Genomic DNA, 22,040 nt, shown 5'->3' on the forward strand with positions numbered 1-22,040 from the left:
TAAATAAATAAATAAATAAATAAATAAATAAATAAATAAAATAAAGTAAAAGAGGGAATGCTGAGAGCCGGGTGTGGCCTGTGGCTCTGTAGCTACTCAGGAGGCTGAGTCAGGAGGATTGCTTTAGGCCAGAGATTCCAGGCTGCAGTGAGCTATGATCATGCTTGTGAACAGCCGCTATATTCTAGCCTGGGAAACACAGTGAGACCCTGTCTCTGAAAAAATAAAATATTTAAAAAAGAGTGAATGGTAGATCAGGGTCTTCTGTGGTGGGGTGGGTCTGGGCAGGGGTGGAGGCCTAGCCAGAGTCACTGGGGTCAGGGAGGGACTGGTGACCAGAATGCACAGCCCTGACCAGGGAAGCACCCAGGGAGCCTTCCCCGTGAGGGGGGACCTGGCCTCGCCCTGGCCTCACCCCGGCTGTGAGTTGGAACCAGCATGGAGGGAAGCCAGGCCCGGTGCACTCTGCCCAGGGGGATGTAGTTTGGCCAGTGGGGGCTGCCATCAGAGGCTGTCCTTACTGTGGGGTCGCTGTGGACGCTTTCCCTTCCGAAGCCTGGAACCTTGGGTCCCCATGCCCTCCAGCTCTGTGTCTCCTTCGTGGGCACCAGGAAGACGCATTCCCTGGCCTCCTTTGCAGTGGCTGGCTGTGGAAGGAGGCGCCTGGGGTCAGGTGGGTATAGGTGGGTACGTGGCATCACGAGGACATATTTTTGTAGAGGGAATTACATTCTTTCTTCCAATTTTTTATTATAAAAGTTTTCCAATTGAAACCACCCACACCCCAAGCCTGGGGCCGGCCTCCCATCACTGCCTTCTCAGCCCCCGGGGAGGCCTCCTTCTTTCTGCATGGCCTCTGGGCCCATCTGAGCATTCCTCTTCCCTGATGGGAGAAACGCCTGGTAGGGGAGAAGTGGATGTGGGTGTCCAGGCTAGTCTCAAATCCCAATGGCTGCCCCGGAATCCCCCCTGCACACCTCTCCTCCTGGTGCCCGGAGGGGGTGCCCACTCTGCTGCCAGGGATTTCCTGAGCAGCTGCTCCGACCACAGCCAGGGAAGAGTCCTTGCAGGAACTCTGCGGGCTGGGCCTGCCCTCCCCAGCCTTGGCATCTTCTTGTTGGTGTCTGAGTTTGAGTCTGTTCTGTGGGCTCTGTGGGAGGTGGGCCCAGCTTCTCACCATGCAGGACCCCTCACCCAGAGACTGAAACCCACTTTGACTAACATGCCTCTGGGTTCCTTCACTGGCCCTGCCCAGTCGCATCCCATGGGAAGAAGGACTGGCTGCTCGGGGTTCTCAGACCCTAGCCTGGGAAAACCAGTCTGAGGGCAGGGATAACCCTTGGCCCTGCCTCTGATTGGGCCCTGAGTTAGGTGGGGTTCTTCCCTGCTGGGGGTCCTGGAGGCATGGGAGGGTTTTGGGGTTCTGTGTGAGAGAGGCCCCAGTCCCTTCAGTTCTCACAGATCCCCCAAGGCTGTGTGTCTGATCCATTGCTTTACATAAGAGAGGAATTGGAGCCAGGCAAAGCCCAGGATTAAAATGGGTGGTGGAGGGGGGAAGCTGTGATTTGAATGTGTCCCTCTAAAAACACGTGTTGGAAACTCAGTCCTCAATGCAACAGTGTTGGGAGGTAGGGCCTAAGGGGAGGTGTTTAGGATGATCCATGGATGATCCATGCAGGTAACAAAAGGCCTCGAGGCTGGGCATGTGTTCTCTCACTCTCTCACACTCTCTTGCCATGTGATGCCTTCTGCCATGTGATGACACAGCAGGAAGGCCCTCACCAGATGCAGCCCCTCAAACTTGGACTTCCCATCCTCCAGAATCATAAGCCGAATCATCTTCTATTTTTTATTTTTTATTTTTTTTGAGACAGAGTCTTGCCCCGTCGCCCAGGCTGGAGTGCAGTGGCATGATCTCTGCTCACTGCATGCTCCGCCTCCCGGGTTCACGCCATTCTCCTGCCTCAGCCTCCCAAAGAGCTGGGATTACAAGTGCCCGCCACCATGACTGGCTAATTTTTGTGTTTTTAGTAGAGATGGGATTTCACCATGTTGGCCAGGCTGGTCTCGAACTCCTGACCTCAAGTGCTCCACTCACCTTGGCCTCCCAAAGTGCTGGGATTACAGGCATGAGCCACCACACCAGGCCTTTTTTGTCTTCTTATAAGGAGGTGAGTTGTATTGAATCAGGGCCCACTCCAATCAGGTGTGACTGCGACTTCACTTGATTATATCTGCAAAGGCCCTATTTCCAAAACGGTTGCATTCATAGGTACCAGGGGTTGAGGCTTTAACATATCTTTTAAAATTTTTATTATTTTTTTGAGACAGAGTCTTGCTCTGTCGCACAGGCTGGAGTGCAGTGGCGCGATCTCGGCTCACTGCAACCTCCACCTCCTGGGTTCAAGAAATTCTCTTGCCTCAGCCTCCTGAGTAGCTAGAATTACAGGCGCCCCCACCCACCCCACCATGCCTGGCTAATTTTTGTATTTTTATTAGAGCTAGGGTTTCACCATGTTGGCCAGGCTGGTCTCGAACTCCTGATCTCAAGTGATCCACTTGCCTCAATTTCCCAAAGTGTAACATATCTTTCTGGGGGACAGAATTCTACCCACAAATTCTAGATAAGGAGGCATTGCTTCTTTTTTCTTCTGGTATTGAATGTCACTTTGGAGAAGTCTGATGTCAAGTTGGTTTTCTTTGCTTTATAAGATACTTGGTCTTTCTGTCTGGCTGCCTAAAGGATTATTTCTTTATCTTCAAAGTCCAGTGATTTTACAAAGGCATGTTTTGTGTTGACTGTTCTGGGCCAACACACACAAGTATACAGCATGCACTTTTACAGGCAGGCGCAAGTCTGCCTGCATTTCAATAAAAGAGGTCTTGAATGATAGTTTCAATCCTTGTTCATCAGGTGCTGTGGTGCACACCTGTGGTCCCAGCTACTCAGGAGGCCAGAAGTTCAAGGCCAGCCTGGGCAACGCTAGCTTATATGAGATCATCTCTCACATAAATCAAGTAGTCAATTGTTCTGATCTGTTAGTTTTGCCTATCGTATGTGTACGCTGGAGCCCCTTTACTGTTTTTTTTTTTTTTTTTTTTTTTTTTTTGAGACAGAGTCTCGCTCTGTTGCCAGGCTGGAGTGTAATGGCACAGTCTCAGCTCACTGCAACCTCTGCCTCCTGGGTTCAAGTGATACTCCTGCCTCAGCCTCCCGAGTAGCTGGGATTACAGGCACACATCACCATGCCCGGCTAATTTTTGTATTTTTAGTAGAGACGGGGTTTCACCATCTTGGCAAGGCTGGTCTTGAACTCCTGACCTTGTGATCCAACTGTCTTGCCTCCCAAAGAGCTCGGAGCTCGGATTACAGGCGGGAGCCACCGCGCCCGGCCCTTTACTGGTCTTTTATAGTCACTTTCTCTCTAATCCTTTTTAATCTCTTTCCTCTTTCTTTCCATTTGCTCACTTTTTCCTTTTTTACATGATTTTCGTGGTGTCTCTGCTCTCGTATTACCTGTAACTTCATTTCTTCATTTCTGAAATGGTTTTGTCTTTTTCTTCAGTTTCCTTCCTGAATTCTGTCATTTCCTACCACAGACTCCGCTGCCGTTTGGCCACCTCTTCCCTGCGTTCTTATTCTGTGCTTATTCTCCTCTGTTCTTATTCTGTGCTGTAGTCTCCCTTCGGAGCTGAAGTTCTTGTTGGAATATTAGATCATGATTTTCATCTGGTTTGTGGCAGTATTTGTCTGATGAGATTTCTTCATTTGTAGGAGAATAGCACTGCTTTTATTTTTTATTTTTATTTTTTAAGACTGCAGCTTGCTCTGTGACGCAGGCTGGAGTGCGGTGGCACAATCGTAACTCACTAGAGCCTTGACCTACAGCCTGCACTCGAGCAATTCTGCTGCCTCTGCCTCCGGAGCAGCTGGGGACTATAGGTGCATGCCACCATGCCTGCCTGGGTTTCTTTTTTTATTTTTTTGAGAGAGGGTCTCCCTCTGTCACCCAGGCTGGAATGCAGTGGCACAATCTCAGCTCACTGCAATTTCTACCTCCTGGGCTCAAGCGATTCTCCCATCTCAGCCTTCTGAATAGCTGGGACTACAGGTGCACACTATCGTGCCCGGGAATTTCTTAGTATTATTATTATTTTTTTTTTTGTAGAGACAAGGTTTCACGATGTTGTCCAGGCTGGTCTCGAACTGCTGGGCTCAAGTGATCTGCCCACCTTGGTCTCCCAAAGTATTGGGCGTGAGCCACTGTGCCTGGCCTTTTTTTTTTTTTTAAGTTAGACACTTAGGTCTCCTTATGTTGGCCAGGCTGATCTTGAACTCCTGGCCTCACTCAATCCTCCCGCCTCTGTCTTTCCCACAAAGTGCTGGTGTTACTGGAAAAGGGGGGGCTCTGATCCAGACCCCAAGAGAGGTCTCTTTGATCTCATGCGAGAAAGACTTTGGAGCGAGTTCACGGAGTAAAGTGAGAGCAAGTTTATCAGGAAAGTAAAGGGATGAAGAGGATCTGAGGTCTCCTCCCCTCCCTTTTGAGACCTTATAAGGTAACCTCCAGACATTGCCATGGCATCTGTAAGCTGTCATGGTGCTGGTGGGGGTGTCTTTTAGCAGCTAATGCATTCTAATTGGCATATAATGAGCCGTGAGGACAATCAGAGGTCACTCTCGTGGCCGCCTTGGTTTTGGTGGGCTTTGGCCGGCTTCTTTACTGCAACCTCCTTTATGAGCAAGGTCTTCATGACCTGTATCTTGTGCCGACCTCCTATCTCATCCTGTGACTTAGAATGCCTAACCTCCTGGGAATGCAGCCCGGCAGGTCTCAGCCTCATTTTACCCAGCTCCTGTTCAAGATGGAGTTGCTCTGGTTCACACGCCTCTGGCATTGGGATTTCAGGCGTGAGCCACTGCGCCCGGCCAGCATTGCTTTTGGAAGTGGAGAGCGTGCCCATTCTTGTTACTCGTTTATTTGAATAGGATGGTTGTTCCGGCCAGGAGGTGCTGGGCCACGGCTCCTGGGAGGACCTCAGCACCACTCGCTCCTGTTGGCAGCTGAGCCAGCCCACCTTGAGGTCCTGTGCCTGGGTTACAGCTGGTGGTGTGTGGGTGCACAGTGATGGCCGGCCTCTGAGAGCTGGGGCGGGCCAGTGCGGCCTGACTCTGCCTGTAGGAAGCTCTAGAACAGGTCACGCTGATCTGCAATGAAAAGTCGCCTCTGGAGGGGGTGCAGTGGGGACTGATGAGCGCATATCTCGGGGGTGGTCAGGTTCTTATCTTGGTGGAGTCCGCTTTTGTCAACTCCCTGAGTGACACCCTTGAGATCTGTATAGCATGCTGGGTTGAACTGTGACTCCCAAATTCATATGTTGAAGTCTTGACCCCTGTATCTCAGAATATGCCAGGGCAGAGTCAGCAAAAAGAGGAAAATCTCCAGCCGGTTCCCCAGCTCTGAGCCTGTACCTGCCTTGGGGCCAGGAGAGGCTGAGGTGTGGGAAAAATGCATATTTGGGTTCCTCTGCCAGAGCATGGTCCTCCGTGGAGTCGGCCTCCTGCAGAGGGGAGCAGCAGGTGCTGTTGCATGCTACCGTCTCCCCTGAGCCTCTCAGGGTCTCCTTAGGAAGAGGGTGCATGTTCCCTCCCAGGTGCAGCTCACCCCTACCTCTGCCCCCCACATCTCCCTCCCCCCGCCCCAGGCAGCCCCCAAGACTTTCCTTGCCCTGAACTCCCATCTGCCTCCCGGGTCTGTCCTCTGTCCCTGGCTGCTCGGGTCAGCGTGGCCTCCGGTTCTCTCCCTTTCTGTCCCTTTTGCACTCTGGCTCCCTCTCTAGGCTGCGGTGCAGTGAGGACGCTGCCCAGGGCTGGAGGCTGGCGGGAGGTTGGGTGTGATGTGAGGCTGTGTTGCCGGCTGTTCTGGGGATGCTGACAACATTAGCGTGGCTCATGTTTATCGTGGGTCTAGCTCCCCTTGTACAGACATGGTCCTCTTCCCTTCCTCCGCGGAGGCAGAACCCTGATGCGTCGTGGGGCATGTAGCTGGCCAGAATGAAAACCTGCATCTCCCAGCCTCCTCCCTGAGGCTAAGTGGAGCCGAGCTGCTAAGTCGTGGCCAGTGGGTTAAAGGCAGAAGTGCTGTAGGAGACTTCCAGGAAGATGGCTCAAAAACAAGCTGACTCAGCTGGGACTTCTGGGAGGGGCCCTTTTCTGCCCTGTACTTTTCCAGCTTTCTTCCACCTGTCCTGTGGTCTTGATGGCTGGAGCACCAGCAGCCACCTTGGACCATGGAGTGGCTTTGAGGCTAGACACTATGCGTGGAGGACGAGGAGCAGGACAGCCAGGATCTGGGTCCCTGAGGACATCGAGGAGCTGCCACCTCACCCTCAATCAGTCATCCCCAGATTCTCCCTTCAGAAAGAAATCAGCTTCTTTCTTGTTTATGCTTCTTTTGCTGGGATTGTCATATGCAGCGAAACCAAACTGTGGAGTCCCGATCAGCTGATAGAAATGAGGAAGGGGTTCCCTCCTCTGCACAGCTCCATGGCACCACAGGCCCTAGCTGGCAAGAACATGAACTAGGGTCGGGGAGAGCCGTTGTTCTAAGAAATGGCTAACCACAAGCAGCCCGCTTGCACAACCTCATGTTACCAAATACCTCACTCTGCACGTTAGCTCCAGCAGCATGACCCTGTCTGCATGGGGCCTCTCCAGCGTGACCCTGTCTGCATGTGGCCTCTCCAGCGTGACCCTGTTTGCATGTCGCCTCTCCAGTGTGACCGTTTCCACATGTAGCCTCTCCAGCATGACCCTGTCTGCATGTGGCCTCTCCAGAGTGACCCTGTCTGCATGTGGCCTCTCCAGAGTGACCCTGTCTGCATGTGGCCTCTCCAGCGTGATGCTGTCTGCGTGGGGCCTCTCCAGCGTGACCCTGTCTGCGTGGGGCCTCTCCAGCGTGACCCTGTCTGCGTGGGGCCTCTCCAGCGTGACCCTGTCTGCGTGGGGCCTCTCCAGCGTGACCCTGTCTGCGTGGGGCCTCTCCTGCGTGACCCTGTCTGCGTGGGGCCTCTCCAGCGTGACCCTGTCTGCGTGGGGCCTCTCCAGCGTGACCCTGTCTGCGTGGGGCCTCTCCAGCGTGACCCTGTCTGCGTGTGGCCTCTCCAGAGTGACCCTGTCTGCATGTCGCCTCTCCAGCATGACTGTATCCACATGTGGCCTCTCCAGTGTGACTCTGTTTGCATGTGGCCTCTCCAGCATGACCCTGTCTGCATGTCGCCTCTCCAGTGTGACCCTATCAAACTTCCCCCTGGCCCCTGCCCCTGGGGAGGTGGCCTTCTCTCTGCCATGCTGCCTGCTGTTCTCTTGCAAGGTGTCTTCAGACTTTCTTTACCCACGACTGTCTCGGTAAATTCTTTTACCACCCGTGACACCAGCCCCAGCCAGTTGCACCTGCAACACTGGCTGCAGTGGATTCCTTGTTGCTGATACTCCACATAACGTTGTTAGGTGTCATATATGATCATTCTTTAACAGAGGGGCAAGCTGAGGCTCAGAGAGGTTAAGGCACTTGCTCAAGGTCACACAGCAGAGAGGTTGTGAGTAAGCCAGGCTGCTGGCTTAGAACACTGCCATGGCATTTCTCAGATCACCTCGCTCAGGGACTCCTGGCAGTTCCCCCTGCGTCATAGCGGTGAGTCTGTCCAGGATGAGCCACTCCAGGCTACCGAGGGCCAGCTGGAGGGCCTGCAGACACCTGCTGTGGAGTCAAGGTCCACACCATCAGCCGGAAGAGAGGTCTCAGGAGGGGCATTAGTGTTTGTCCTCGCTGTGATTGCACTGACTGACAAATCAGCTGTGGGACAATGGAAAACACAGTAGCAGCTTGTTACTGAGAAGGGAGGACTCAGGGTGGACCTGACCCCTCTGCAGATGGCTTGGTGAGAACGTGGCCTGCCCTGTTGGCTCCTCCCTCTGGGTATTGGAATTGCCGGGCAGCCAGAGGCTTACCTGGGGTTACTGGCACCCAGGGAGGAGAAGCCCTGAGCTGTGCGGCTGCTGAGGAAGGCTGTCTGCAGGGGAGAGCCCGAGCGCTGAAGGAGGCCAGTGGGCTCAGCCCGATGTCTCCATTCTCCTTCCTACAGCAACCAGGGTGCTTGGAGCAACCAATTGCCCCCCCTTACCTGGTAGGGATGCTAGGAGGGAGAGCGAGCCATTCCTCTAACATCAGTGACCATGTCTTGGTTCCAAAACCCCTTAAGCCTTGGGTTATTTATCAGCAAAAAGAGAAGGGAGGTGCTCAGGGGGTCTTCGTGGAGATCCCCTGCTCCCCTCGCCTTGAATGTGGAGAGGGCCCAAGACTCCCTAGGGAAGGCAGGTGATATAGACTCCAGGTGTGCCCTGCTCCGTCCTCGGCACCACTCTGCAGCACCACAGGCAGTCTGGGGTGCAGATAACATCTCCCTGGGCACAGCTTCGCACCAGGGCATGCTGGGGTACAGCCACACTTGCACAGCCTGTGGATCCCTGCAGCCTGGGGATTGGGCTGCTATTCCCACTGCAGGGAGGGAGGTGGTCGGAGGTAGGGGCTGCTCCTACCTAGGTACTTCTGGCCTCACCAGAAGAAGGGGGAGGGTTTGCACATTGAGTGGCGCCTGCTCCATGTTTGTGCCTGTATTTACATCATTATTCTGAAGGCCAAGAGATTGGACCTGCCGGAGCTCCATGCACAGACCCTGTGCAGGTGCATGTGGGCTTCTGGCTTCCTGGTGTGCACAGCCCCTTCTCTCCCTTCTGGACTGTGGCAGTGTACTAGGGACATTGTAGCCACTGTGTAAAGTCTCCCGCTTTCTGGGACAATTTTATTCACTCATGTGTGTTGAGAGCTTGTTTTGTGCTGGGGTCCCTGGGGAGAACGCTGGGTTCACTCATAGTTCCACAACAAGAGACCTGTGGCCTTTGTTGTGGACAGGGGCCAAGAGCACGTAGAGAAGGCGCTGAATGCTCCTTGGCTTCCAGGGGAAAGATCAGGACTGGAAGGATGTGGGAACTGCCCAAAGCTACAGAATCTGCTGTCTCAATGGCTGAGCAGGGTGCAGAGTGCATGCGGCTGTTTGTTCTGTGGCACTGGTAACCTTGGCACTTCTCCAGGTGTGAAGGACAGCATGGGAGTGAGCCTGTGAAGTTGTAGGCAGAGTCCAGGCAGCCCCGAGCCTGGGTTGGTTGTAGCTGTCAGAGTGGCAGCAGGTGGACAGAGGGGATGGGCTCGGGGGGAGGCGGGGGGACCCGCTTGAGTGGGAGTCAGCCTGGGGGCATCTCAATCCCTCTGATGCCTGGTTTGGGTCCCCAGCACTACTTAGCCCACCCCACTGAGCCTGTCTGTGCCTGGCCTGGCACTGGTGATGCAGGGACTGAGTCAGGCAGGGCACGACCCAGAGAGCCCATGGGCAGACAATGTTGGTGCTGCATGCCCGGGCTTAAACCAGCAAGCCTGATTCTGAATGTCCACAAGCTCTTGGCTGGTGGGGCCACAGGACTGGGACCCAAGCCTCCTGGCGACATGGGTGAGGCCATCTGTCATCGGTCCTTCTCTCAGGCCACCTGGTTCCCTGTGACTCACTTGGTGTTGGCCAGGTGCATGGATGCAGATCTGAGCAGACAGTCCCTGTGTCCCCAGTCTGGTTGGGGGTGCAGGGGTCTGGAGCCCATGTGAGCCTGGTGAGAGCCTGGGAAGGAACCACTTTTTCCATGGCAGAGCTGAGTGCAAAGCACGCTGTTGCACTGCTCTGGTGGTGGCATTTTACTCTGTAACCTATTCATCCACACACTCATGTATTTCTCCACCCACCCATTCATCTACTTATCCACCCATTCACCCATCCATCCACTTATCCATCCACCCATCTACACATCCATCCATCCACCCACACACCCATCCACCCACCCACCCATCCACCCACCCATCCATCCATACACCCACCCATCCATCACTTATTTGTTCATCTATCCATCCATTCCCCATCTGTCCATCCACCTACTCACCCATCCATCCACCATCCATCCAACCATCCATTCATGCATCCATCTACTCATCCATTCATCCATCCATCCACCCATTCACCCACCCACCCATCCACGTATTGACCCATCCATCCACCCATCCATCTACCCATACTTCCATCTATCCACATACCTGCCCATGCACCCACTCATCCATCCACCCACCCACTCACCTATCCACCCATCCACCCATCCATGCATCCATCCATCCATCCCCCCACCCACCCGCCTCGTCCCTCCATCTGAAGGTCATTACGGAACAGCTGTGAAGCTGAGATGCTGGGGACCCAGTGGTTACTCAGGACAGTCATGGACACTGCCCTCTAGGCTGTGCTTCCTGGCAGGCAGAAGCAGCGAACAGGACCCTTTGCAGATAGTGGTGTCTGCTGTAAAGGAGAGAAAACAGCGAGAGTAAAAGAGTTGAAGAGCTACTGGGGTCTCCTGGGACTCTTTTCCATTCTGAGTCCTGAGCCCACCGAGAAGTAAGGCATGAAGGCAGGTGCTGGAAACCCAAAACCCTTCTATCAGTGCCAACTCCTCCATCAGGTTGTAAACCAAAAGATATCTGAGACAGGTCTCAATAAATTTAAAACACTTATTTTGCCAAGGTGAAGTAAGGGCCTGTGACACAGCCTCAGGAGGTCTTGACGACATGTGCCCAAAGTGGTCAGGGTACAGTTTGCTTTTTTTTTTTTTTTTGTTATTTTATTTTATTGAGATAGAGTCTCACTCTGTTGCTCAGGCTGGAGTGCAGTGGTGCGATCTCGGCTCACTGCAACCTCCGTCTCCCGGGTTCAAGCAATTCTCTGTCCCAGCCTCCCCAGTAGCTGGGAATATAGGCGCATGGTACCATGCATGGCTAAGTTTTTGTATTTTTAGTAGAGACAGGGTTTCACCATCTTGGCCAGACTGGTCTCGAGCTCCTGACCTCGTCATCCACCTGCCTTGGTCTCCCAAAGTGCTGGGATTACAGGCGTGAGCCACCATGCTTTCTTTTGTACATTTTAGGGGGACATGAGACATCAATCAATATGTGTAAGATGTACGTTTGTTTGGTCAGGTAAGGTGGGGCAGCTTGACAACTTGCGGGGGTGGGGGACTTCCAGGTCATAAGTAGGTAAGAGACAAACTGTTGCATTCTTTTGAGACCTTGATCGGCTTCCCACTGAAACACAATTTAGTCTGGCTCAGGGAATCTGTATTTTTATATCAACAATAGGGCAGAGGAAGCCATCAGATATGGATTTGTCTCAGGGGAGCAGAGGGATGGCGTTGGGTCCTGTCTGTCATTTGTCTATGAGGAATTTCCTCATGGGCAAATTTTGAGGGAGGTAGTGGCTTTTTAGTCTCTGTAGCCATCTTATTCAGGAGTGGACTGGGAGGCAGGTTTGCCTGAGCAGTACCTAGCTTGACTCTTCCCTTGGCTTGGTAATTTTGGGGCCTGAGATTGATTTTCCTTTCACAGGGTGTAGCAGGCTTAGTGCCAGGGCCCAGGAGACTTTTAGGGGTCAGGAAAGTGGTTTAATGCCTTCTAAAATCAGAATAAACACAGTGCAGCCTGGGCTGTAGTCATCTTTCTACAAACGCAGTTATGAAACATCATTCGTAATACTTTAGCCCAGAGGAGGGGCCCACAGAGGCTGTGATGCCAGGCTGCCCGTTATTCCCAATGGAGGCTGGTCGGAGGACGCGGCTCAGAGTGAAGGCCAAGGGGGCCTTCCCTGAACCCCAGAGTGGAGGGGCCACCTGCCCAAAGGTGCAGCCCAGGCCAGCCTCCAGGGAGCCCCCACCTGTTCAGCAGAGCAGGCCACCCCTGCAGGTGGCAGCGGAGAGTGAGCTCAGCCTGCCCTGCAGACCCCGCCTGGATTTGCCAACCCCTCCCTGCGTGGGGGTGGGTGACAAATGGTGGGAGAGAGGCAGGGGTCGGAGAAGTCAGTTTTCTCCACGTGGAAGGAGGCTCGGGAGTTGGGGAGGACACCCCCACCTTCCCCGGCCTTTTGTTGCCCTACCCAAGGGCCTCGTGGTCACACTTGTGGTCAGCTGGGGGGCCGCCCCTAGGGAGAGGAGAACTGTCGGGGTCCCCTTCATGAAGCCACTCCCAGGACTGCAGGGGGCCGTTTGGGTTTACCCCCCATGAAACTGCCTTTGCAAAAATTATAAGTGAGGAAATGATGACAGTGAAAGAAATCAGACCTAACCGACTCCATATTCCTTCTAACCTTTAAGCTGTCCTTATTCATCCCTGGGCGTAGGCCGAACTAACTTTGGGAAGGAATTCAGTTCATGGTTTGACTCTGAAACAAAACTGATAACAGCCCTTTCCCGAATAGACCCCCTTCTTGCCTGAGGACCAGTCGGCCTTTGTAGGACTAACAAATTAGCTGCAAGATTAGAAATTATGGTTTAGGGGTCTTGCGGCCTCCGGCTGTGAGAGTCTGAACCTCCCCAGATTGCTTCTGGGGATCACCTCACTATTGTAAAACCTGAGATCAGTGCTGGGGATATTCTGCAGACCCCGCACTCATGGATCAGCTGACACCACCTAGACCAGTCATCTGACTCAACCAGTTCCGCCATCCCACCCAGGAACAGAAGACAGCAAGAAAAACTCACTTTGACCCCCTATGAGTCCATCTCCAAACGGACCAACCGGCATTCCCCACTTCCTGAGCCCCTACCTGCCAAATTATCTTTAAAAACTCTGATCCCCAAATGCTCGGGGAGACCCTTTTGAGTAATAATAAAACTCTGGTCTCCCGCACAGCTGGCTCTGCGTTGAGTTACTCCTTCTCCTTTGCAATTCCCCTGTCTTGATAATTCGGCTGTGTCTAGGCAGCCGGCGAGGTGAACACACTGGGCAGTTACAACAGGATTAATGAAACTGATGCAAAGCTCGTTTGTGCCAAAGCTGGAACTCATGCCTCCCACCCGCCGTCCACGTGGTATCCAGCTGCACGGTCACGCGGTGTCTAGCTGCATGGTCACGTGACATTGCAGCTCTGCCGTGGCAATGGCAAGACTGTGACACACGGCGGCCCCACGCGGTGTCCACTGCACAGTCACACGACATTGCAGCACTGCTGTGGTGACAGCAAGACTGTGACACACGGCGGCCGCACACGGTGTCCACTGCACAGTCACACGACATTGCAGCACTGCCATGGCAATGGCAAGACTGTGACACACGGCGGCCCCACACGGTGTCCACTGCACAGTCATGCGACATTGCAGCTGTGCCATGGTGAGGGCAAGACTGTGACACACGGCGGCCGCACGCGGTGTCCACTGCACAGTCACACGACATTGCAGCACTGCCGTGGCAATGGCAAGACTGTGACACACGGCGGCCCCACACGGTGTCCACTGCACAGTCATGCGACATTGCAGCTGTGCCATGGTGACTGCAAGACTGTGACACACGGCAGCCCCACACGGTCTCCACTGCACAGTCACGCGACATTGCAGCTGTGCCATGGTGACGGCAAGACTGTGACACACGGCGGCCCCACGCGGTGTCCACTGCACAGTCACGTGACATTGCAGCACTGCTGTGGTGAGGGCAAGACTGTGACACACGGCGGCCGCACGCGGTGTCCACTACACAGTCACATGACATTGCAGCTGTGCCATGGTGACGGCAAGACTGTGACACACGGCGGCCGCATGCGGTGTCCACTGCACAGTCACACGACATTGCAGCACTGCCATGGCAATGGCAAGACTGTGACACACAGCGGCCCCACGCGGTGTCCACTGCACAGTCACATGACATTGCAGCTGTGCCATGGTGACGGCAAGACTGTGACACACGGCGGCCGCATGCGGTGTCCACTGCACAGTCACACGACATTGCGGCACTGCCGTGGCAATGGCAAGACTGTGACACACGGCGGCCCCACGCGGTGTCCACTGCACAGTCACGCGACATTGCAGCACTGCCGTGGTGACGGCAAGACTGTGACACACGGCGGCCGCACGCGGTGTCCACTGCACAGTCACACGACATTGCAGCACTGCCGTGGCAATGGCAAGACTGTGACACACGGCGGCCCCACACGGTGTCCACTGCACAGGCACGCGACATTGCAGCTGTGCCATGGTGACGGCAAGACTGTGACACACGGCGGCCCCACGCGGTGTCCACTGCACAGTCACGTGACATTGCAGCACTGCTGTGGCGACGGAAAGACTGTGACACACGGCGGCCGCACGCGGTGTCCACTGCACAGTCACATGACATTGCAGCACTGCCGTGGCAATGGCAAGACTGTGACACACGGCGGCCCCACGCGGTCTCCACTGCACAGTCACGCGACATTGCAGCTGTGCCATGGTGACGGCAAGACTGTGACGGCGGCCCCACGCGGTGTCCACTGCACAGTCACGCGACATTGCAGCTGTGCCATGGTGACGGCAAGACTGTGACACACGGCGGCCGCATGCGGTCTCCACTGCACAGTCACGTGACATTGCAGCTCCACCGTGGCAACGGCAAGACTGTGACACACGGCGGCCCCACGCGGTGTCCACTGCACAGTCACGTGACATTGCAGCACTGCTGTGGTGATGGCAAGACTGTGACACACGGCGGCCGCACGCAGTGTCCACTGCACAGTCACACGACATTGCAGCACTGCCGTGGCAATGGCAAGACTGTGACACACGGCGGCCCCACACGGTGTCCACTGCACAGGCACGCGACATTGCAGCTGTGCCATGGTGAAGGCAAGACTGTGACACACGGCGGCCCCACGCGGTCTCCACTGCACAGTCACGCGACATTGCAGCTGTGCCATGGCGACGGCAAGACTGTGACACACAGGGGCCCAAACGTGGGGGGCTCTTCCATTCCTGTATTACTTGATCGAAGAAATCTGTAGGTCAAACGCCCTTGCCAATTACAGTTGCTAGACTTTAAAGTGAAAATGCATTTTCTTGCCCTCACCATTTAAAAGCCAAAGCTCAGAACTTTGAGTTTTAAGTGAAAGTCCCAAATGATGGGATTCAATTTCTTTCCCCCAGGTCACAGCCAAAGGGGCTGTCATGCACGGAGATGAGGGGCCGCACAGGCACTCTGGGGACCTGGGGCTTTCTTTCCTCAGGAGGCCCAGGGGCGCGGGTGAGGTGTCGGTTGCTTTGCACCCAGGCCACGCTGCTTCCAGGGGCCTTGTGGCTGGCAGAGTGGACCTGACGTTTCCCAGACGCCGTTGCGGGGGGCTCCTGTCCTGGGGAGGGCAGATTTTCTCCTGCGTGTGGGTAACTTGTAAGGTGGCAAGGCTGCGTTCCCCGGACCCCCATCTGCGAGGATTCTCTGAGGTCCAGGTTTCCAACGCCTTTCTCTGGAAAGGTTTCGCCTTTGCTTCTCCCAGAAGCTTGGGTTGCCAGGACTCCCTCAAACTAAATTTTTGGCCTGGGGTTTTTCCAGTCATCTAGTGAGCGTGAGTTCTGGCCACACTGCCCCTGAGGTGGGCTTGTGACTGGAATTTCCTGGGGTGACCTTTTTCTGCTTTTCCCACTGCTTCCAGAGCCAAGGCGACGCGCCCACTGTCTCCCAGCTGGGTGGGCTTCCCCAGGCCGTCTGTGGGGCAGTCACCTCCTTGATCCTCCCGTGGGCAGGTCTCACGTCCCCTTTGCCTCTGGTTCCCTGTGTGCGTGGCTCACTCAAGCCAATGGGAAAAACCCGGAAACTCTACAGAGAAGTAGGTAAAATCCATGGACAGAGTGTGTAGAACAAGATAACAAATGGCTCTGAAACATAGGGAAAGAGGCTCGTAGTAAAGAAATGCAAATACAAGCTATGCGGAGATGCAGTTTCTCACATATCAGACTGGCAGAGATTCAAAAGCGCGACTGCGGTGGAGGAGGCCGTGGGAAACTGGCTCCCTCAGACACTAGGAGGGAAACTGTCCTTCACCCGAGGGAGCGGAAGGTGGCAGTAGCTAACAAAATTACACTGGCTTTGCCCCTTGACCCAGCGATTCCATTTCTAGGAATTTCCCCCGAGGTGACACCTCTGCAAATAGGGAACAGTGCATGCTTGAGGGATGCAGCACAGCCTCATTTGTCACAGCGAGACAGTGGGAACGACCTGAGTGCTCATTCACCAGGCAGGGCTGTGCAAACGGGAACAGCCACAGCGCGGGGCATCATGTGGCCGTGGGGAGCCTGGGGGGCCTGGGGGGACTGGGGAGAACTCAGGGAGTCGGAGCACGGGAGGACAGACAGGCTGCTCAGTGTGGCAGGTGCAGCGCCGAGGCCGCCTGCAGGTGGGTGAGAAGGGGGTGTAAGGGGACACACACACACACCACACATGCACATGCAAACCACACACACAAATCACACACACACATAAGCCACACACACAAATCACACACTCAGACGCACCACACACGCACATGTAAACCACACACACAATCACACACCACACACACGTAAACCACACACACAAACCACACACATCAGATACACCACACAGGCACATGTAAACCACACACAATCACACACATGCACCATACATGCACATGTAAACCACATACAAATCACACACACTACACACACACTTAAACCGCACACACAAACCACACACATCAGACACACCACACATGCACATGTAAACCACACACACAATCACGCACACCACACACGCACATGTAAGCCACACACACAAATCACACACATCAGACACACCACACATGCACATGGAGACCACACACACAAATCACACACACCACATACACACATAAACCACACACACACAAATCACACACATTGTACACACACACGTAAATCACGGCACACACCATACACGCACATGTAAACCACACACACACAAATCCTATACACGCACACACACCACACACGTCAACTATACACACAAAAATCACACATTCCTTCACTACACACGCATATATAAACTACACACAGAAATCACACAGGCAGACACACTACACATGCATATGTAAATTACACACACATAAACTACACACACAACCTATACACACAAATCATACACACACTATACATGCACATATAAACTACACACTATACACACACAAATCACCCACATGCACACACACGGCACATACTACACCTACACCTGTGAACTACACACAAACTACACACACAAACTACACACAGATATAGACCACACACACAAAACACACACACATAAACCACACACACAAACTACACACACATAAACCACACACACAAACTATACATACACATATAAACCACACACACAAACTACACACACGTAAACTTCACACACAAACTACACATACATATAAATGATACACAAACTATTCACACACAAACTACACACACAAACCACACACACATATAAACTACACACACAAACTGTTCACACATATAAAAACACAAAGTACACACAAACTATACACACAAACCACACACACATATAAACCACACACACAAAGTACACACACAAACCATACACATACATATAAACCACACACACAAATACACACACATAAACTATACACAAACTACACACACACATATAAACCACATACACAAACTATACACAAACACATAAACTACACACACAAACTACATACACATATAAACCACACACGCAAAGTACACACATGTAAACTGCACACACAAAGTATACACACAAAGTGCACACACATAAGCTACACACAAACCACACACACATACAAACCACATACACAAACTATACACAAACACATAAACTACACACACAAACTACATGCACATATAAACCACACACTCAAAGTACACATTCATAAACTACACACACAAACTATACACACATATAAACCACACACACAAAGTACACACATGTAAACTGCACACACAAACTATACACACACATATAAATCACACAAAGTATACACCTGTAAACTGCACACACAAACTATACACACACAAATAAACCACACACACAAAGTACACACACATAAAGTACACACGAACCACACACACATATAAACCACATACACACACTATACACAAACACATAAACTACACACACAAACTACACGCACATGTAAACCCCACACACAAACTACACTTTCATAAACTACACACACAAACTATACACACATATAAACCACACACACAAAGTACATACATGTAAACTGCACACACAAACTATACACACATATAAATCACACACACAAAGTACACACACATAAACTACACATGCAAACTATACACACACATATAAACCCCACACACAAAGTACACACACGTAAACTACACACAGAAATGATACACATATAAACCACACACACAAACTACACATACATAAACTACACACAGAAGCTATACACACACATATAAACCACACACACAAACTACACACACATAAACTACACACACATAAATCACACACAAACTACACACACAAACTCTACACACACATATAAACCACACACACAACCTACACACACATAAACTTCACAAACTACACATTCATATAAACAATACACACACAAACTACACACACATATAAACCACACACACAAACTACACACACATAAACTGCACACAGGAACTATACACACACACATACAAACTAGGCAAACTATACACACCCATATAAACCATACACACAAACTATACACACATAAACTTCACACACAAACTATCCATTCATATAAATGATACACACACAAACTACACACACACATATAAACCACACACACAAAGTATACACACATAAACTACACACATATAAACTACACATGCAAACTATATGCACATAAACTACACACACAGACTACACACATATAAACTACATATGCAAACTATACACATGCACATAAACCACACACACAAACTGTACACACAATATAAACCATACACACGAGTTACACACACATGTAAACTACATACAGAAACTACACACACACATAAATAACCACCAGGTGGGAGGACTGGGTGGAGTGAGAAGTCAGAGAATCCTTTACATAGGTGTTGACTTTTGAAACACGTAAATGTTTACACGTTCAGAAATAGAATTAAATTGACAAGCACAAAAAAATTGAGCATTGAATTCAAACAGAAATCAATGAACCTAAAACAATTGACAGCAACACCAGATGGAAACAAGAATGGAAGCGGCTTTCGAAGGGGCCTCTGGCTGTGGGGACCCGCAGCTCCGCGTCGCAGGCCGGCTTTGTCGCAGCAGCAGTGCTGCTGTGGTCGTCTGAAACCACTGTCTGTGGATTAAGGGCTGGTCACCCCCAGCAGCTTGGTGGTCCTCCTTGGAACCAGGACTCTTTCTCTCGCTGGGAGGCGGGAGATAGGGATGTGGAACGGGAGACAAAGAGGGTTCCCGGGGGCTTGTGCTTGGACTGGAAGCGGCAGCAATAACTCATAATTCAAAAAACATCCATTTTCTGTCTCTAACCACTGAAAGGAGCTAACATGGGTGCTACCCAAGCACAGAGGCACACGGGTGGTTTCCGAAGCTGTGCGGCACGGTGGGGCCTAAGTCTGGATCTTGGTGGAGGTGGGCACAGGATGAGCCGGAGTATGGATCGCGTTGCGCCAGGAGGGCGGATGCACTTGAGGACAGACGGGGATGCCTCAACAGGCCAAAAAGGCCAGGTGGAAGGGGCTCTGGCGGCCAAATTTGAGACATAGGATGAAGAGCATTGGATGAACAGTATAGTCCATGGCGGCCCTAGAAGGAGGGAGCACTTCCTCCTGGAACAATCCAGCCAACGTGGGAGAGGCGATGGGTTTGAAAGTCCCCATTTGTGCACTCCCCCTGGAATGAACACATTCAGGTGAAGATCAGCAGCGGATGTTGAAGTCGGCTGAATAGCATCCCCAAGGCAGGTGCCTGTCCTAAGCCCCAGAACCTGTAATCACAGGTCCCCTTGTATGGCAAGAGGGGCTTTGCAAATGTGGCTAAGTGAGGGACCTGGAGACGGGGAGGCCACCCTGGATTATCCAGGTGGGCTCTGGTGATCTTCAGGGTCCTTTTAAGAGGGAGGCAGGAGGGTCAGAGCCTGAGGAGGGGATGCAGTGATGGACGCGGAGCTTGGAGGGATGGGGTTTGGAAACGGAGGAAAGGGCCACACATGTACCCAGGAACACAGGCAGAAGGAATGCAGCCCTGCCGACACCGATCTCGGCCCGGTGTGACCCATTTTAGACTTCCGGTCTACAGAGCTGGAAGAGAACACACCTGTGTTGTTTGTGGTAATCTGTTACAGCAGCCACAGGCAACTAACTCGGGTGCCAAAGCCATTGAGTTAAGGGCTGTTGGGGAACAGGATATTCACGCTCCTAGGACCACCAGTTACAAAGGGGAGGGGGGACTTACGCAGGAGCAGCTGGCGACAGTCCTTCCCCCATGACTGGATGTAGCATCACCTGGGAGGTACAGCTGACATGTCCCCTGCTGTGACGGGCGGAGGACAGCGTCTCCTGTGAGTGTTGCTGCACAAAACACCACACCCGAATTTCACGCTGGGCCAGTCCGGGTTATGCTGCATCCTGCCGGACAGCTGGCCAGACCCTGGAAGCCAGTGGTGTCACTAAAGGAAAAGAGCTCGTCTGGTGTAAGAGGCACCGGAGAGCCCTGTCAACGCCTGCAACGTGTGTTTCTCTGGGACTTTTGGATCCTATATACGTATATGTGGCTGGAAAGGACAATTTTGGAGAATTGGGACATTTTGAGTATTTGCTGTGCACTAGGCATCATTATTGTGTCCGTGTTAATAACGAGTTATGTTTTAGCAATGCTGGAGATGTGTGTGTCTCTGTGTCTGTGTCTGCCCCACAGCTGTGGGGGTGAGGGAGGAAGCTGGAGTGCAGGGCACCCTGGTGCTGTTCTCGCAACTGTGTTCTGATTGCCTCTCTTGTGTGCATGCCCCGTGAGCCCCTCTGCAAGTCCCCGGCTAGCATGGCCTGGGGATCCTCTCTGCCTGCTGTTCCCATGACCAGGATGATTCTTCTTCTTTGCTTCTGGGTCTCGCTCTGTTGCCCAGGCTGGAATGCAGTGGCATCATCTCAGCTCACTGCAGCTTCGACCACCTGGGCTCCAGCGATCCGCCCCCTCGGCCTCCCAAGTAGCTGGGATTGCAGGTGCACGCCACCACGCCTGGCTAATTTTTGATTTTTATAGAGATGGGGTTTCGCCATGTTGCCCAGGCTGTTCTCAAACTCCTGTCCTCAAGTGATCCTTCTGCCTCTGCCTTCAAAGTGCTGGAATTACAGGCATGAGCCACCTTGCTCGGCCTTCTCCTTCACGTTTTTTGGGAAGTAGGGAAATAAAAACGCACAGCACCATCTTTTTCCAGTTTGGGGAACTAGCTGGGTGATGAATGGAAGCATATCCGTGTTGTCCAGTGGAATTCCTCATGTGTATACTTGACGGAGGCAGACAGCAGCAGAATCTGGAGCCCGCACCCCATCCTGGAGGTGTGGGGGATGCTGCGTCTGCATCTCCGGGCGGGACCGGGCTCTTGCATTCAGCCTTGGCCTGCAGTGCCCATAGGGACCCGAGGAAGAGCAGTCTGGGCTCCCCAGCTTTGGCTGTATAAAACTCCTTGCACCTGGGTGGCTTAACACACCAGCTATCTTATTTAGCCGATGCTTGTTGGATCAGGTGACGGCTTCCCTGGTCTCAGCTGGTGGCAGTCACTCTGGTCAGCCAGTGGCTTGGAAGTTCTAGATGGTCTCCCTCCCTTGTTTGGTGCTGGGCTTGATGTCAGCTGGAGAGATGGGGATGACCGGGCTGGTGTCACCTTCCAGAGCCCCAGCACCTTCACGTAGAGGAGTCACAGGCTTCCTGCAAGCAAGGGAGAGCCAGCCCCAGGACGCGGTCAGAAGTGGTGCTCTAAGAAGCACAGCAGTGCCCAAAGCTTTGTGCAAAGCGGGTCCCTGCCAGGGGCCTCCCAGGCCCATGCGTGGCCTTGTCCCTGCTGCCCCCTGTCTGCCGCCCGCCTCCGACTGGATGCTCCAACTGGAGCTC

The 22,040-nt window shown here is 52.8% G+C and overlaps 3 annotated features.

Moving 5' to 3' along the window:
• Nucleotides 13,227–13,872: an enhancer, noted in NCBI's record as "H3K27ac-H3K4me1 hESC enhancer chr4:3565549-3566194 (GRCh37/hg19 assembly coordinates)". NCBI's record gives its function as "activates a minimal SCP1, AML or CMV promoter by ChIP-STARR-seq in naive H9 embryonic stem cells {active_cell/tissue: H9 hESC(naive)}" and the evidence as "EXISTENCE:reporter gene assay evidence [ECO:0000049][PMID:30033119]".
• Nucleotides 13,873–14,518: an enhancer, noted in NCBI's record as "H3K27ac-H3K4me1 hESC enhancer chr4:3566195-3566840 (GRCh37/hg19 assembly coordinates)". NCBI's record gives its function as "activates a minimal SCP1, AML or CMV promoter by ChIP-STARR-seq in naive H9 embryonic stem cells {active_cell/tissue: H9 hESC(naive)}" and the evidence as "EXISTENCE:reporter gene assay evidence [ECO:0000049][PMID:30033119]".
• Nucleotides 14,519–15,162: an enhancer, noted in NCBI's record as "H3K27ac-H3K4me1 hESC enhancer chr4:3566841-3567484 (GRCh37/hg19 assembly coordinates)". NCBI's record gives its function as "activates a minimal SCP1, AML or CMV promoter by ChIP-STARR-seq in naive H9 embryonic stem cells {active_cell/tissue: H9 hESC(naive)}" and the evidence as "EXISTENCE:reporter gene assay evidence [ECO:0000049][PMID:30033119]".

Source organism: Homo sapiens, chromosome 4 (assembly GCF_000001405.40).
Source record: "Homo sapiens chromosome 4, GRCh38.p14 Primary Assembly".
Lineage (NCBI taxonomy): Eukaryota > Metazoa > Chordata > Mammalia > Primates > Hominidae > Homo > Homo sapiens.